Here is a 15,731-nt window from a genome sequence, read left to right as displayed (position 1 = left end):
ATGCATAATGCGGGTAAGTAGCCAGGGTCATTCAGCTAGCCCCAGGAGTCGGATGGGACCCAGGTTTGGGGGACTGCTGCTTGTGCTACCTCCTGATTACTAATTCAGATTCTTCAGGATCTTGATACAGGGAAGAGATGTCCTGGTTGGCAGGCAGGAGTATCCTGGTCAATAGAAAGTTATATCCTTCCATTGTAAGTTAATGAATTTGGTAAGCAAGAGTCAGCCCTTGAGCCCAAGCACCTCTTAAAAGCACCTCTGGCCACTGAAAAAGAGTTTCTCAACTGCCATCTTTTATTCAACAAATACTTATTGAGCAGCTACTATGTGCCAGGCCACTGGAAATAAAGCAGAGAACGAGATGGACAAAGAGCTCACATTCTAGTCGGGGTGGACAAACATGCAACCAAATAAGCAAGACTAGTTTTCGATATGTGAGATGCTATGAAGACAATAAAATGGTATGATAAATAATGACTAAGGGAGTCAGTAAAAGGTCACTGTGAGCAGGTGGTACCTGAGCTGAAACCTGACATGAGGAGCCAGTTATGAGACTCTAGAGAAGGATGCATTAGGCACAAGGACAGACAGTGCAAAGGTCGGAGTGAGATCCGCATGTCAGACAGACTACAGGGTGGCCAGGATGGCTGGAGCAAGGTGAGAGGTAGAAAGTATGATGCAAGATGAGACTGAGAGCTGCGCATGGGCCTTGCAGGCCATAGAAGGGATTTGAGTTTTATTCTAAGCACAACTGGAAACCCGTGGAGGATTTTAAGCAAGAGAGTAATATGACCAAACTCTAAATCATTTTGATTCTCTCAAGGTACACCCTTCCACATAGAGCTTCCCTCTAATGTAATCTTGTAATCTTGAATTTCAACAGATAAAAACATTTAAAGAGCCAACAGATAGAAACATTTAAAGAGCCAGATAGTAAAACTGGTAATGCCACTCCATCTTGCTTAAGTTACAATCTCTCCTTTACAGAATTCCATAGAATTCTGCCAATCACCATTTCACTTACGTGATCACTGTAATTCAATTCTCGTGAAATGTTAGAATATAATGGTCCACATTTTATGAATGAAGAAAACAAAATATGAATATCTTCTTTAAGGTCAATAATAGAACCAGGAAAGAAACTGAGAAATCTTTCTTTGTTAAATGTGTGTTTTTTTGTTTTTTTGTTTTGAGATAGAGTCTTGCTCTGTCACTCAGGCTGGAGTGCAGTGGCATGATCTCAGCTCACTGCAACCTCTGCCTCCCGGGTTCAAGTGATTCTTCTGCCCCAGCCTCCTGAGTAGCTGGGACTACAGGCGCATGCCACCACGCCTGGCTAATTTTTTGTATTTTTAGTAGAGACGCGGTTTCACCATGTTAGCCACGATAGTCTTGATCTCCTGACCTCATGATCCACTAGCCTCGGCCTCCCAAAGTGCTGGGATTACAGGCATGAGCCACCACGCCCGGCCTATTAAATGTGTTTTTAACACAGTTAGTCCACCTTAATTTCTCTGAAAGGAAAAAAAGAAATCAAGAAAAACAGAGATTTACCTTCTTTCTATCATCTTTCCTGTCAAATGCACACTGCTGCTTGCACTGTTCACAAGAATAGGGTGGTCCATACTTCTTTTCTGAATTTGTGCAGCGCTGGCATTTATTCCCAATAAATGCTGCAATTATGTTGCAATACTGACAAGGTTTGGGCTTAAAAGGGGAAAAAAGAGTCAAGTAAGTATTACTTTCATAAAATACCACTGCATTTAAAAAAGCAATAATTCCTACTTTGTAGTTCATTAGTCATGGTACAAATGTATTGCCGACTTCATAAATCTGCTTTTATATTGACCAAATGAAGCCCAATTCTTTTTTATTGTTGTTGTTTTTGTTTTTTGAGTCTCGCTCTGTTGCCCAGGCTGGAGTGCAGTGGCGCAATCTCAGCTCAATGCAACCTCCACCTCCCGGGTTAAAGCAATTCTTCCTGCCTCAGCCTCCGGAGTAGCTGGGATTACAGGTGCCTGCCACTATGCCCAGCTAATTTTTGTATTATTTCCTAGAGATGGGGTTTCACCATGTTGGCCAGGCTGGTCTAGAACTCCTGACCTCAGGTGATCCGCCTGCCTCAGCCTCCCAATGTGCTGGGATTATAGGTGTGAGCCACCACGCCCGGCCATGAAGCCCAATTCTTAATACTATGTGAAGTGTTTTTCTGCACAGGACTATTGATTTTTAAATAAATAAATAAACAAATAACAAAAACCCATTAGTATGTATGCAGAGACTTCTATGAGACATGCAACAGAACCAGCTCTTTGGAGAAACCAGCAAGGGCTTCCAAATTTCTGAAAAGGCCTCTTTGCTATTATCAGTACATAAACATGTTGGGAGAATGCTTACAAGCACATAACATCCTGAACTGTAACACTAAGAGAAAAAGAGAATCATTCATCAAAATGACTAGTCAACTGTTACCAAACAAAGGGGTCAAAGTTATAAAAATTCATCTTGCCGGGTGCAGTGGCTCACGCCTGTGATCCCAGCACTTTGGGAGGCTGAGGTGGGCAGATCACTTGAGTTCAGGAGTCCGAGACCAGCCTGACCAACATGGTGAAACCCCATCTCTACTAAAATACAAAAATCAGCCAGGTGTGGTGGCATGTGCCTGTAGTCCCAGCTACTCGGGAGGCTGAGGCAGGAGAATCACTTGAACCCAGGAGGTGGAGGTTGCAGTGAACTTGACTGCCATTCCACTCCAGCCTGGGTGACAGACCAAGACTCAGTCACAAAAAAAAAAAAACAAAAACAAAAACAAAAAATTTCATCTTTCCCTTTCTCTTTCCATACTGGTCACTGAAGCCTCTCAATGAAAATTATAATCATAATCCTGGCAGTGTGACCATAAACACAGAGTTCCTTAACAATAAGCATTAGCTAAATGTGAAAGCTGAAATCAGTATCAGATATATTACACATAACCATTTATTCTAATAAAAATATTGTAATGGCATTAGTAGGCCACAGAAGGTAAGGTTCCACAAGACCCTAGTACTCACTGTTAGGTTTGAAAATATCCTACTTACCGTTCCATACAACTGCACGTTCTGAGCACATTTCTTGCATATTGTATTGGTTTTACTGTTAAGGAAGAAAGAGACACAGGCTTTTCTTAGAATATCTGAAAACTGATACCTCCTTAAGCCCAAGGAATTTGCTCATTGCTAAGGGCCAAAGTGAGATATGGTCTGGATGCTTGGTTAACACTAGCTTGAGTACCTTTCTAATAACTCTTTTATTTTTATTCAATATTTTTGAGACAGAGTCTCACTCTGTTCCCCAGGCTGGAGTGCAGTGGTGCAATCTGCTCACTATAACCTCTGCCTCCCAAGTTCAAGCGATTCTCATGCCTCAGCCTCCCAAGTAGCTGGAATCATAGGCGCGCACCACCACACCCAACTAATTTTTATATTTTTGATAGAGACAAGGTTTCGCCATGTTGGCCAGGCTGGTCTCAAACTCCTGACCTCAAGCGATCCATCTGCCTTGGCCTCCCAAACTGATGGGATTACAGATGTGAGACACTACACCTAGCCTCTAATAACTCTTTTAATTATTATGTGGCTGGGCGTGGTGGCTCACGCCTATAATCCCAGCACTTTGGGAGGCTGAGGGAGGTGGATCACCTGAGGTCAGGAGTCCGAGACCAGCCCAGCCAACATGGTGAAACTCCATCTCTACTAAAAATACAAAAATTAGCCAGGCGTGGTGGCGCGTGCCTGTAATCTCAGCTACTTGGGAGGCTGAGACAAGAGAATCACTTGAACCCGGGAGGCGGAGGTTGCAGTAAGCCGAGACCTCACCACTGCACTCCAGCCTGGGCAACAAAAGCAAAACTCCGTCTCAAAAAAACAAGTGAGGCTTTGGCTAAAATGGAGAGTGAGTTATTTCTGATTATGACATCCCCAAGTATCACTAAATAAAATTATCAGATACAGAAAACACCCTCAAAATATTATACTAAAATGGACTAGCAGGAAAAAAAAATAAATTCTCCTTAATTCGGATGAATAGTTGGGAAATTTGAGGTGACAAATAAAGTATGTGTGTCTGGAATATAAACTCAGAGATTCTATCTTTGCTAACCTTACTCTGTGCTCTCCTTCATAAGTAAAGGCATATGAAAACACCAGAGGTGGGGAAAAAGACACTATGATCAAATATTTTGTCAATATTTAGGCCGGGCACGGTAGCTCATGCCTGTAATCCCAGCACTTTGGGAGGCCAAGGCAGGCAGATCACCTGAGGTCAGGAGTTTGAGACCAGCCTGGCCAACATGGTGAAACCATGTCTTTACTAAAAATTCAAAAAAATTAGCCAGGCGTGGTGGTGTGTGCCTGTAATCCCAGCTACTCAGGGGGCTGAGGCAGAAGAATCGCTTGAACCTGGGAGATGGAAGTTGCAGTGAGCCAAGATTGCGCCATTGCACTCCAGCCTGGGCAACAGCAAAACTGTGTCTCGAAAAAAAAAAAAAAAAAAAAAAAATTCTGATTTCTCTAAGAGTTAAGCACTGACAAAAATAAAAACATCCTTTGCCTTGTGAAGATCCAGAGGTCCTATTACCTAAATGTGTGAATTAATAAAGCTGCCCGGGGGAAAAATCATCTTCAAATAAAAGTCTAACTCTTCACATGAGGAGGTAAAAATGAATGTCTTATGTGTAAGAACAATTTAAACAGTACTTTGGGGCTAAAAACTAATAAATCACATAAAAATCTTAAGGCCAGGCACAGTGGCTCATGCCTGTAATCCCAGCACTTTAGGAGGCTCAGCCTGGGAGTTCAAGGTTTCAGTGGGCTACAATTGTGCCACCGCACTCCAGCCTGAGTGACAGAGTGAGACCCTGTCACACACACACACAAAAAACTAGTCTATTCTCTGCTTTGTGATCATTTTCCCATATAATTCCTGTGAAAGTGACTATAAAGTTAAAATAGACAAAAGAAAAACCTCAGAGTAGAAAATATTTAAATTATAAATTATTTTTCAGGGCAATTTTCTGTTACTTTTAAAAGACAGTAAAATAAGTGAAGGACATTCAAAGAAATCTCTAGAAAGAGGATTACCATCAATGATTCTGTGATGTAGAATAGCATTTTGATTTACGCCTAGATTTACTACTGAAGGAATGGGGTAGATGTCAATATATACATATGTTCCTAACATGTTAAAAAACATGCAAAGAAAAACTAACTCTAGGCTGGGCGCGGTGGCTCATGCCTGTAATCCCAGCACTTTGGGAGGCCGAGGCAGGCAGACCACCGGAGGTCCGGAGTTTGAGACCAGCCTGATTAACAAGGAGAAACCCCATCTCTACTAAAAATACAAAATTAGTTGGGCGCGGTGGTACATGCCTGTAATCCCAGCTACTCGGGAGGATGAGGCAGGAGAATCGCTTGAACCTGGGAGGTGGAGGTTGCAGTGAGCCGAGATCGTGCCATTGCACTCTAGCCTGGGCAACAAGAGCGAAACTCTGTCTCAACAACAACAACAAAAAAAAAAGAAAAGAAAAAGAAAAGAAAAACTAACTCTATGATCCATCTTGAATTAATTTGTATGTATAGTGTAAATAAAGGGTCATAGTTCCTATCTCACCCCACATATGAATTAACTCAAGATGGACCATAGACCTAAATTTAAGAGCTAACATATAAAGCTTCTAGAGTATGATTCCACTAACATGAAGTCCCAGAATAGGCAAAACTAATTTATGGTGGAAATGAAAAGTAGAACAGGGGTTGCCTGGAGGAAGCAAGGGTGTGGGGATTGTCTAGGATGGGGCATGAGAGGACTCTATGGGGTGACAGTAACATTCTGTATTTTGATAGGGTTTGGGGCTACACAGATGTCTATGTTTGTAAAACTTGATGCATTTAAGATTCAAGCATGTTAGTGTAAGCCAATTTTGCCACACACACACAAAAAGAGCTGCAAACAAATATTTAACTCTAAATAATGCTGTGCATGCTGAAGTGTTTAAGGGTCATGTATACTGATGTCTGCAACTTTAAATACATCAGAAATAAAATGAATTGATATAGTGATGGAGAGAGAGATGAACAGATGGATAGGTGAATATATAGTAAAGTGTATATGATAGAATTTAAGTAGAGGGCATATGGGTGTTCACTAATTCTTTTAACCTTTTTTTTTTGTTTGAAAACATCCATGATAGGCTGGGTGTGGTCGGTCACGCCTGTAATTCCAGCACTTTGGGAGGCCGAGGCAGGCAGACTGGTTGAGCTCAAGAGTTCTAGACCAGCCTGGGCAACATGGCAAGACCCCTGTCTCTACTAAAGATACAAAAAAAAAGCTGGGTGTGGTGGTGTGCACCCCTGGTCCCAGCTATATGGGAGGCTGAGGTGGGAGGATCATTTGAGCCCGGAGAGGGGAGGTTGCAGTGAGCTGAGATCATCTCACTGCACTCCAGCTTGGGTGACAGAGAGAGACCCTGTCTCATAAAAGAAAAAAAAAAATCCATGATAAAATCTTGGAGAAGATATTCTAAGAATTGAAATGAATAATTAAAAATAGGCTTCTAGGTCTAATGGATGAATTAACAAATAGATCCCACTCTCCTCAAGGCAGGATCACCTACACTCACAGAAGTTCCACAAGAATCAAACTTGGTACCAAAAAAAAATCACTTTGTTGCTATGGAAATGCCCCCTAAAGATGTCTGACCACTCATACCTGCATTTCACACTTTTTTTTTTTTTTGAGACAGAGTTTCCCCCCGTCACCCAGGCTGGAGTGCAGTGGCGCAATCTCAGCTCACCGCAACCTCCACCTCCTGGGTTCAAGCAATTCTCCTGCCTCAGCCCCCCAAGTAGCTGGGACTACAGGTGTGTGCCACCACACCCAGGTAATTTTTTTGTATTTTTAGTAGAGACTGGGTTTCGTCATGTTAGCCAGGCTGGTCTCGAACTTCTGACCTCAGGTGATACACCTGCCTCAGCCTCCCAAAGTGTTGGGTTTACAGGCATGAGCCACCGTACCCAGCCCATTTCACACTTTTAAAAATGAGATTTGCCCAGGCGTGGTGGCTCACGCCTGTAATTCCAACATCTTGAGAGGCTAACGAGGAAGGAATCACTTGGGCCCATGAGTAAGAGACCAGCCTGGGTAACATGGCAAAATCTTATCTCTACAAAAATAAAAAAATTAGCTGGGCGTGGTGGCACACACCTGTGGTCCCAGTTACTTGGTAGGCTGAGGTGGGAGGATCACTTGGGCCCGGGAGGTCCAGGCTGCAGTGAGCCATGACGGCTCCACTGCACCCCAACCTGACTGGGAGAGAGAGACTCTGTTTCAAACAAAAAAAGAGATTTGCCCAAGGAAAGTGTAATGGCAAGTGAGTTTCAAATGTGACTAGAGCTAGCAAACTCTTATCAGGATTGTCACATTTCCAAAAGTATCTTCTTTGGGCTTATAAATTCTTCAATCTCTGTGTATGTACATATTGAAACATGAGGCTCATGTTTTACTGTTGTGGGATTGGTTTCTTCTTGACAAAAAGATTATAATCACAATATAAAATGATCAAGGGTCTTAAAAAGAACTTTAAAAATTTAAGCAGGCTGGGCGTGGTGGCTCACGCCTGTAATCCCAGCACTTTGTGAGGCTGAGGCGGGTGGATCACGAGGTCAGGAGTTCAAGACCAACCTGGCCAAGATGGTGAAACCCCGTCTACTAAAAATACAAAAAAACTAGCCGGACATGGTGGCAGGCACCTGTAATCTCAGCTACTTGGGAGGCTGAGGCATAAGAATCGCTTGAACCTGGGAGGGAAGGGTTGCAGTGAGCTGAGATCATACCACTTCATTCCAGCCTGGGTGACAGAGTGAGACTCCATCTCAAAAAAAAAAAAAAAAAAAAAAAAATTTAAGCAATCAATGGATAATAACTAGGAAACAATACATGTATTATATACCCTTCATTGTATATCTCACCCCACACATGAATTAACTCAAGATGGATCATAGACCTAAATATTTAGCAATTATAGTCTGTATATAATGTGATTGATTACAGATCTGTATTTTACAATGCAACTGATTATAGCATCTGTACATGAAATGCAATCAATTACAGATTTTAAGAGGAAAAAAGCCTATTAATATCTTTCATGGTCAACAAAACTCTACCTCTCCTGCTGGTACTCAGTCCTGCAGTAGGTGCACTTCACAACAGGGTGTGCAATCCGACATTCCTGAAATGAAATGAGGATATAATTTTAAAAGGCAGTCACAAATGGAAACAGCCTTCAGTAGGAAGCCGACCTGGGTACTATTTCTAGCATAGCTACTATGCTTGAGTGAGTCACTTAAACTTTCTGGGCCTTATTTTTCTCCTCTGTAATACTGGCATCACTTCCCTACTGTTGATGTGGGAGTTAAGTAAGAACTTATATGGATTATATGGAACTAGCCATAAATTGTAAAACAAACATATATATGAACAAGTCCCAGACTGGGAATCAGAAGCCCTGAATTCCAGGCCTGGTTCTTCTGCCACTGTGTGATTTTGCGGTTTACTTGTGAAATGAAAGTGCTGGATTAAAATTATTATTTATATATACATAACTTCCTTAAAATCATATATACATATTTTGAGGCCAAAAAGGGCACTCAAGCACTTGCATTCCCCCAGACCTGGTATATAAAAACTGGCAAATGGAAAGTCATGACCATCTGAGGCAAAAGTGACAATTATGAGTTATCCAAATCAGAGACACAAACTGGATTATTGGATAACCTCAACATTATTCTTCAGCCAGTTTGGTGACTTTTTAACTGTTGCCTCACAGCACCTCTAGTCACTTAAAAAGTAAAAGTGGGATAAAGCAACTTAAAAGAAAAAGAGAAGTTGGACCTTCAGGAGCAAAAACTGATCAGCAGCTAGTCAGGGAAGACCGAAGACCACCAACTGGATGCTGAGAAGTGATCCCTCGGATCTGTGAGCCTGACTGTGGGGCTTTTTTAAAACATAAAGCCTTGCTGCCTCCGATTCTGAGACTGGCCGAAAAGTGAGATGCTTAAAAAAAAAAAAAAAATCAAGCCTTGCTACCTCCGATTCTGAAACTGGTCGAAAAGTGCCCGTGAGGAGCCCGAGTTCGACACATTCCTCCAAGGCAGCACCCAACTTTGGAGTTCAGTCCCAGGAGGGGCAGGAGGTCCCCACCAGGGAGACCGCGGCGGCGGGGGAGGCAGCGCAAAGGGATCCCGAAGGCGACCAGTCAGGGCAAGCAGGGGACCCGCTGTCCCTCCCCCGACCTCACGGGGTCCGAGAACAATCCCCACGGTTGCTAAGCACCCGGACACGCCGGCCGCGGGAGCCTGGACCGGGTCCCGGCTCCCGCACGTGCCCCGCCGGCCCCCAGCGGGGTGGGTGCGGCTCCTCAGCCTGGCGGGCCTGCCACACCCTGCTCCGGGGACCCCGCCGGGCGTCCCCACAGAATCTGGAGCTCCGGGCCGCGCCTCCTGCGTCCCCAGTTCCCGGCCGCCGCCCCAGCCCGCGCACCTTGCACAGCTGCTGCCCCTGAGACAGCGCCTCGAAGGGGAAGCGCTGGTGGCACTTGGTGCAGGCGTAGAGCGCCGCCATGTCCGGCCCGGGCCGCGCTCACCGACCCGCCGGCCCGGCCCGCCGATTTATCTGACAGTCTGAGGCACAACCCGGCGGCGGCTGCAGGCTGCTGGCTGCGGCAGGCGGGCGGGCGCAGGCGGGTCGGGGCGGACCCGGGCGGGCTGGGGCGGGCACGGCGACTCTAGACGCCCGCTCACTGGTGGGCTTTGACGTCGATCAAGTGGGAAGGGGCGGAACACGGAGCTTTCGCCCACTCTGATTCGGTCTGGCCTGGAGTACGCCACTGTGACGCTCCAGGCCGCGATTATGTAAAGCGCAGTCACGCGGGGGCGCCACCTGGAGGGGACAGGCTCCCGGCCGGGACCTCGGAAGAGCTTAGGCTCCGCCCTACTTGCTCAGCGTTCCCGCCCTCGCTCCGCCTCTCCACGGCCTCAGGCGCATCTGCGCTTCTCGCGATACCTTCGGGGATTTGTGATGTTTTGGTTTCCATGGAGCTGCCCTCTGGGAGCACGAGGGGTACAATTGGAACGAAGGCGGCGCACAGTTAACTGGAACTCTGCAGCCGTCCAAGCCCAAAGAAGGTGGGGAGCTTGGGAAAGAAGTTCCTCATAATCGGAGCAGGAGGAGCCCGCCCAGCCTCGCTCAAAGGAGGAGACGAGACTCTGAGGGACAATTTAGAAGTGTGTCCTCAATTTAAGACACCTAAATAGGGAACTGTGGGGCTGTGGGCCTTAGGAGAGAAAAGGAGAGCCCCAGAGAGAGCACCCCTATGCTGCGGAAGAGGGACTAAAGAGATGGCAGTCCTTCCAGGAGGGATTGGACAGATATTCAGGCGTCCGGTGGCCTGCAGGCCCCCATCAGAGTGGGCTGCAATTGGCCCAGACCTGCTTCCTACTTTGTTTTCTCCGGTTTCACCCCCAGCTTCTCTCGCAAGCAACCACCTGGTGATTCCTGACGAGGCCTGACTTCCGGAAGGCAAGCCACGCCCTCCGGGCTCCCCTGCCTCTCTTTGGCTCCAGCTTGGCATGTATAGGAGCTGCCCAAGGAATGACAGACTTCTTGTTCTTGAGGTGTTGGCAAAGCTTCCTGCACTGCTGACCTATCCAAGTCCTGCCTTGTAGCTGCTCTTGGGCATAGGTTACTCTTGGCTCTGCCAACCACCCGTACAGGACTAATTGCAGTTTTACCTCAACGTGCGCTTTTTACAATTAAAAACTGACTTAATGGCTTCTATTTCCCTGCCTCAACAAAAAAAATTTACTCTCTCTGAACCCAAATCTGGCTGCTTCCTTGTAGGATCCCCCAAAGATGTGCATTAATCATTAGGATCAGAAAGCAAAGTTTCCAAATCACTGTTCCACAACTAACTACATGACCTTGGATCTATCACTGAACTTCTCACGGCCTCGTTTTTCTCAATTGTACAATGAGGTCATTGTGAGAATCAAAACCAGTACATGAGTCGGGGCGGGATGGCTCACAACTGTAATCCCAGCACTTTGGGAGGCTGAGGCCAGAGGATCACTTGAGCCTTGGGATTTAAGACCAGCCTGGGTCGGCCGGACGCGGTGGCTCACGCCTGTAATCCCAGCACTTTGGGAGGCCGAGGCGGGTGAATCACCCGAGGATCACCTGAGGTCAGGAGTTCCAGACCAGCCTGACCAACAAGGTCAAACCCTGTCTCTACTAAAATACAAAAATTACCCGGGCGTGGTGGCAGGCGCCTGTAGTCCCAGCTACTCGGGAGGCTGAGACAAGAGAATTGCTTGAACCTGGGAGGCAGAGGTTGCAGTGAGCCAAGATCATGCCACTGAATTCCAGCCTGGACTACGGGGCAAGACTCCGTCTCAAAAAAAAAAAAAAAAAGACCAGCCTGTGCAACACAGTGGGACCCCATTTCTACAAAAAAACTTTTTTAAAAATTAGCCGGGTGTGGTGGCACGAGCCTGTGGTTCCAGCTACTCAGGCGGCTGAGGCGGGAGGATCCCTTGAGCCTGGACAGTCGAGGCTGCCCTGAGCCATGATTATGCCACTGCACTCCAGCCTAGGTGACAGAGTGAGACCCTGTCTCAAAATATATATGCAAATACAAATAAAAACAGTACGTGGAGGAAAATGTGGGGAAATTGTTTAATGGGTAAGGGGCTTTTGGAGTGATGAAAATGTTTTGGAACTAGATAGAGGTAACGGTTGTTCAACATGGTGAATATACTTTTTTTTTTTTTTTTTTTTTGAGACAGAGTCTGGCTCTGTCTCCCAGACTGGAGTGCAGTGGCGCAATCTTGGCTCACTGCAACCTCCACCTCCCAGGGGTTCAGGTGATTCTCCTGCCTCAGCCTCCTGAGTAGCTGGGATTACAGGCGCGTGCCACCACCCCTGGATAACTTTTGTATTTTTAGTAGAGATGGAGTTCACCATGTTGACCAGGCTGGTCTTGAACTCCTGACCTCAGGAGTTCCTGGATCAGTTGATCCGCCTGCCTCGGCCTCCTAAAGTGCTGGGACTACAGGCGTGAGCCACTGTGCCCGGCTTTTTTTTTTTTTTTCTTGTGACGGAGTCTTACTCTGTCACCCAGGCTGGAGTGCAGTGGTGCGATCTCAGCTCACTGCAACCTCCACCTCCCGGGTTCAAGCGATTCTCCTGCCTCAGCCTCCTGAGTAGCTGGAATTACAGGCATGCACCACCGTGGCCGGCTAATTTTTGTATTCTTAGTAGAGATGGTTTTTGCCATGTTGGCCAGGCTGGTCTCGAGCTCCCGACCTCAAGTAATCTGCCCGCCTCAGCCTCCCAAAATCTGGGATTACAGGTGTGAGCCACCACGCCCAGCCTCAACATGGTGAATATACTAAATACCACTGAATTGTTCACTTTAAAATGCTTAATTTTATGTTATGTGAATTTCATTTCAAATTATTATTATTATTACTTTTTGAGAGAGGGTCTCACTCTCCCCCAGGATGGAGTGCAAAGGCTCAATCTTGGCTCCCTGCAGCCTCAACATCCCTGGGCTCAGGTGATACTCCAACCTCAGCTTCCTGAGAAGCTGAGACTACAGGCACACACTACCAAGTTCTTCACGGCAGGCTAATTTTTTTGTTTGTTTGTTTGAGACGTAGTCTCACTCTGTTGCCCAGGCTGGAGTACAGTGGCGTGATCTCGGCTCACTGCAACCTCCGCCTCGCAGGTTCAAGCAATTCACCTGCCTCAGCCTCCCGAGTAGCTGGGATTACAGGCATGCGTGACCATGCCCAGCTAATTTTTGTATTTTTAGTAGAGATGGGGCTTCACCATATTGACCAGGCTGGTCTTGAACTCCTGACCTCGTGATCTGCCTGCCTCGGCCTCCCGAAGTGCTGGGATTACAGGCGTGAGCCACTGCGCCTGGCCAATTTTTGTATTTTTTATAGAGGCGGAGTTTCACTGTATTGTCCAGGCTGCTCTCCAACTCCTAGGCTCAAGTGATCCTTCCACCTCAGCCTCCCAAAGTGCTAGGATTACAGTTGTGAACCACTGCATCTGGCCTCAAATTATGTTTTTTTTTTAAAAAAAAGAATGTAAGTGGCTGGGCGTGGTGGCTCACGCCTGTAATCCCAACACTTTGAGAGGCCGAGGGGGACAGATCACTTGAGGTCAGGAGTTCGAGACCAGCCTGGCCAACATGGTGAAACCCTATCTCTACTAAAAATACAGAAAATAGCTGGGCATCTGGTGAGTGCTCGTTATCCCAGCTACTCAGTAGACTGAGGCAGGAGAATTGCTTGAACCCGGGAGGCAGAAGTTGCAGTGAGCTGATATTGCGCCACACTGCACTCCAGCCTGGGCGACAGAGCCAGACTCCGTCTCAAACAAAAAGAAAAGAAAAAAGAAAAATGCAAGCTCAGAGCCAGACTGTGTGACTGAATCCCAGCTCTACTACTTAGAAGCTGTATAATTCTGAGCACATTAAAAACAAAACAAACAAGAAACAGTACATGTAACTTGGCACACTAATATATGTTAGTATTGGAAGAAAAAACTGCATTTCTTCTAGAGAGATGCTGGTGCACTGAATCGTGTAAACACAGCCTCCCTTTTCACACACAAACCCTACAGTGGGGTAAGAGCCTCTCTTTGTTCCCACTGTCTTCAGTTTTGAGTTCCACTCTATTACCAGTTTTACAATTACCTATTGGTTTTCATCAGACTGTGGGCCATCATATCAAGGCCATCTCTATAACCCCTTCACAAAGCTAATTGAACCATTCATTCGATAAATATTTATTTTTTATTTAATTAATTAATTAATTCATTTTTTTGAGAGGGAGTTTTGCTCTTGTTGTCCAGGCTGAAGTGCAATGGTGCAATCTCAGCTCACTGCAACCTCTGCCTCCTGGGTTCAAGGGATTCTCCTGCCTCAGCCTCCCAAGTAGCTGGGATTACAGACCTGTGCCACCACGCCCAGCTAATTTTTGTATTTTTCATAGAAATATGGTTTGGATTTTTGTAGAGACTGGGGTTTCACTATGTTGGCCGGGCTGGTCTCGAACTCCTGACCTCAGGTGATCCGCCTACCTCAGCCTCCCAAAGTGCTGGGATTACAGGCATGAGCCATTGTGCTCAGCCTATTTATTTTTTTGAGACAGAATCTCCCTCTGTTCCCCAGGCTGGAGTGCAGTGGTGCAATCTCTGGCTCACTGCAACCTTCACCTCCTGGGTTCAAGCGATTCTCATGCCTCAGTCTCCCAAGTAACTGGGATTATAGACCTGCACCACCACACCTGGCTAATTTTTGTATTTTTAGTAGAAACATGGCTTGGCCATGTTGGCCAGGCTGGTCTCGAACTCCTGAGCTCAAGTGATCTGCCCCTGTCAGCTTCCCAAAGTGCTGGGATTACAGGCCTCAAGCATCCTCCAGCCTTGGCCTCCCAAAGCACTGGGATTACAGGTGAGCCAATATGCCTGGCCATATCATGCCTCCTTTTTTTTTTTTTTTTTCCCAAAAAGACAGGGTCTGGCTCTATCGTTCAGGCTGGAGTGTGCCCAGTCCGTTCAATCAACAAATCTTTATAGAGCATTTGTGCCAGGCTCTGGCTTAGGCACTGGGGATACACTGGTGTATAAAAAAGACATGAGGGCTGGGCACAGTGGCTCAAGCCTGTAATACTGACACTTTGGGAGGCTGAGGCAGAAGGATCGCTTGAGCCCAGGAGTTTGAGAGCAGCCTGGACAACACGGGAAAACCCTGTCTCTACAAAGAAAAAAAAAATTAGGTGGTTGTGTTGGCGTGGGACTGTAGTCCCAGCTACTCAGAAAGCTGAGATGGGAGAATGGCTTGAACCAGGGAGGTGGTTACAGTGAGCTGAGATCACGCCACTGTACTCCAGCTTGAACTACAGAGACAGACCCGGTCTAAAAAAAAAAAAAAAGGCATGATATGGCCAGGCATGGTGGCTCACCTGTAATCCAGTGCTTTGGGAGGCCGAAGTTGAAGGATTGCTGAGGCCAGGAGTTTGAGACCTGCCTGGGCAACATAGTGAGACCTTGTCTCTACAACTTGGTGCGCACCTGTAGTCTTAGCTACTGAAGAGGCTGAGGCGGGAGAATCACTTGAGCCCAGGAGTTAGAGGCTGCAGTGGGCTATGATTGCACCACTGCACTCCAGCCTCAGCAACAGAATGAGACCCTGCCTCTTTAAAAAAAAGAAAGAAAGAAAGAAAAGAAAAGGCATGATCCCAGCCCTTGTGAAGCCAACAATGTAATGGCAAAGATAGCTAAGAAGCAAGGACTGTGAATTAAAAGATACACCACAGGGACAGACAATGAGGAGAAGGCAGGGGGACTCATTTAGATAGAGCCGGTCAGGGAAAAAACTCTCGGAGAAGATGCCAAGACCTGAAGGTCAAGAAGGACTTAGCCATGTGACTTAACCAAGAATGTTCTGGGCAGAAGAGAAGGGGAAGACTTTGAGATGAAATAGAACGTCGCATGTTCAAGAAATGGAGAAGAGGCCAGTATAGCTGAGGGTGAGTGAAGATGCCGCCAGGACACCAGGGCCAAATGTGCAGAGCTGTAAACCCTGCCATGGATATGGAGTTTGCTCAAAGTACAATGGG

General features: G+C 46.4%; 1 protein-coding gene across 6 annotated transcripts in view, besides 3 other annotated features; it reads right to left on the bottom strand.

The window, feature by feature from the left end:
- The window catches only part of FAM76A (family with sequence similarity 76 member A), a 37,156-nt gene extending 27,379 nt beyond the window's left edge, over window positions 1-9,777 (bottom strand). For 3 of the 6 annotated variants that reach the window (NM_152660.3, NM_001143914.2, XM_017000543.3), the window contains exons 1-4: window positions 9,577-9,777; window positions 8,202-8,266; window positions 3,081-3,135; window positions 1,555-1,707 (exon numbers count right to left, since the gene is read on the bottom strand). In NM_152660.3, the coding sequence (NP_689873.1) occupies window positions 1,555-1,707; window positions 3,081-3,135; window positions 8,202-8,266; window positions 9,577-9,657 (354 nt within the window). In that variant the 5' untranslated portion in view covers window positions 9,658-9,777. Of the gene's footprint in view, window positions 1-1,554; window positions 1,708-3,080; window positions 3,136-5,404; window positions 5,507-8,201; window positions 8,267-9,576 lie in introns of all 6 variants that reach the window. The other 3 variants (NM_001143912.2, NM_001143913.2, NM_001143915.2) reach the window with 2 other exon arrangements.
- Window positions 9,253-9,952: a silencer, noted in NCBI's record as "silent region_528". NCBI's record gives its function as "represses an Ori minimal core promoter by ATAC-STARR-seq in GM12878 lymphoblastoid cells {active_cell/tissue: GM12878}" and the evidence as "EXISTENCE:reporter gene assay evidence [ECO:0000049][PMID:35858748]".
- Window positions 9,253-10,433: a biological region, named in NCBI's record as "ReSE screen-validated silencer GRCh37_chr1:28051816-28052458".
- Window positions 9,791-10,433: a silencer, noted in NCBI's record as "fragment chr1:28051816-28052458 (GRCh37/hg19 assembly coordinates)". NCBI's record gives its function as "represses an EF-1alpha promoter that drives an FKBP-Casp9 reporter gene in an ReSE screen in HepG2 liver carcinoma cells {active_cell/tissue: HepG2}" and the evidence as "EXISTENCE:reporter gene assay evidence [ECO:0000049][PMID:32094911]".

Source organism: Homo sapiens, chromosome 1 (genome assembly GCF_000001405.40).
Source record: "Homo sapiens chromosome 1, GRCh38.p14 Primary Assembly".
NCBI lineage: Eukaryota > Metazoa > Chordata > Mammalia > Primates > Hominidae > Homo > Homo sapiens.
This window is presented reverse-complemented; position numbering and strand designations above follow the sequence as displayed.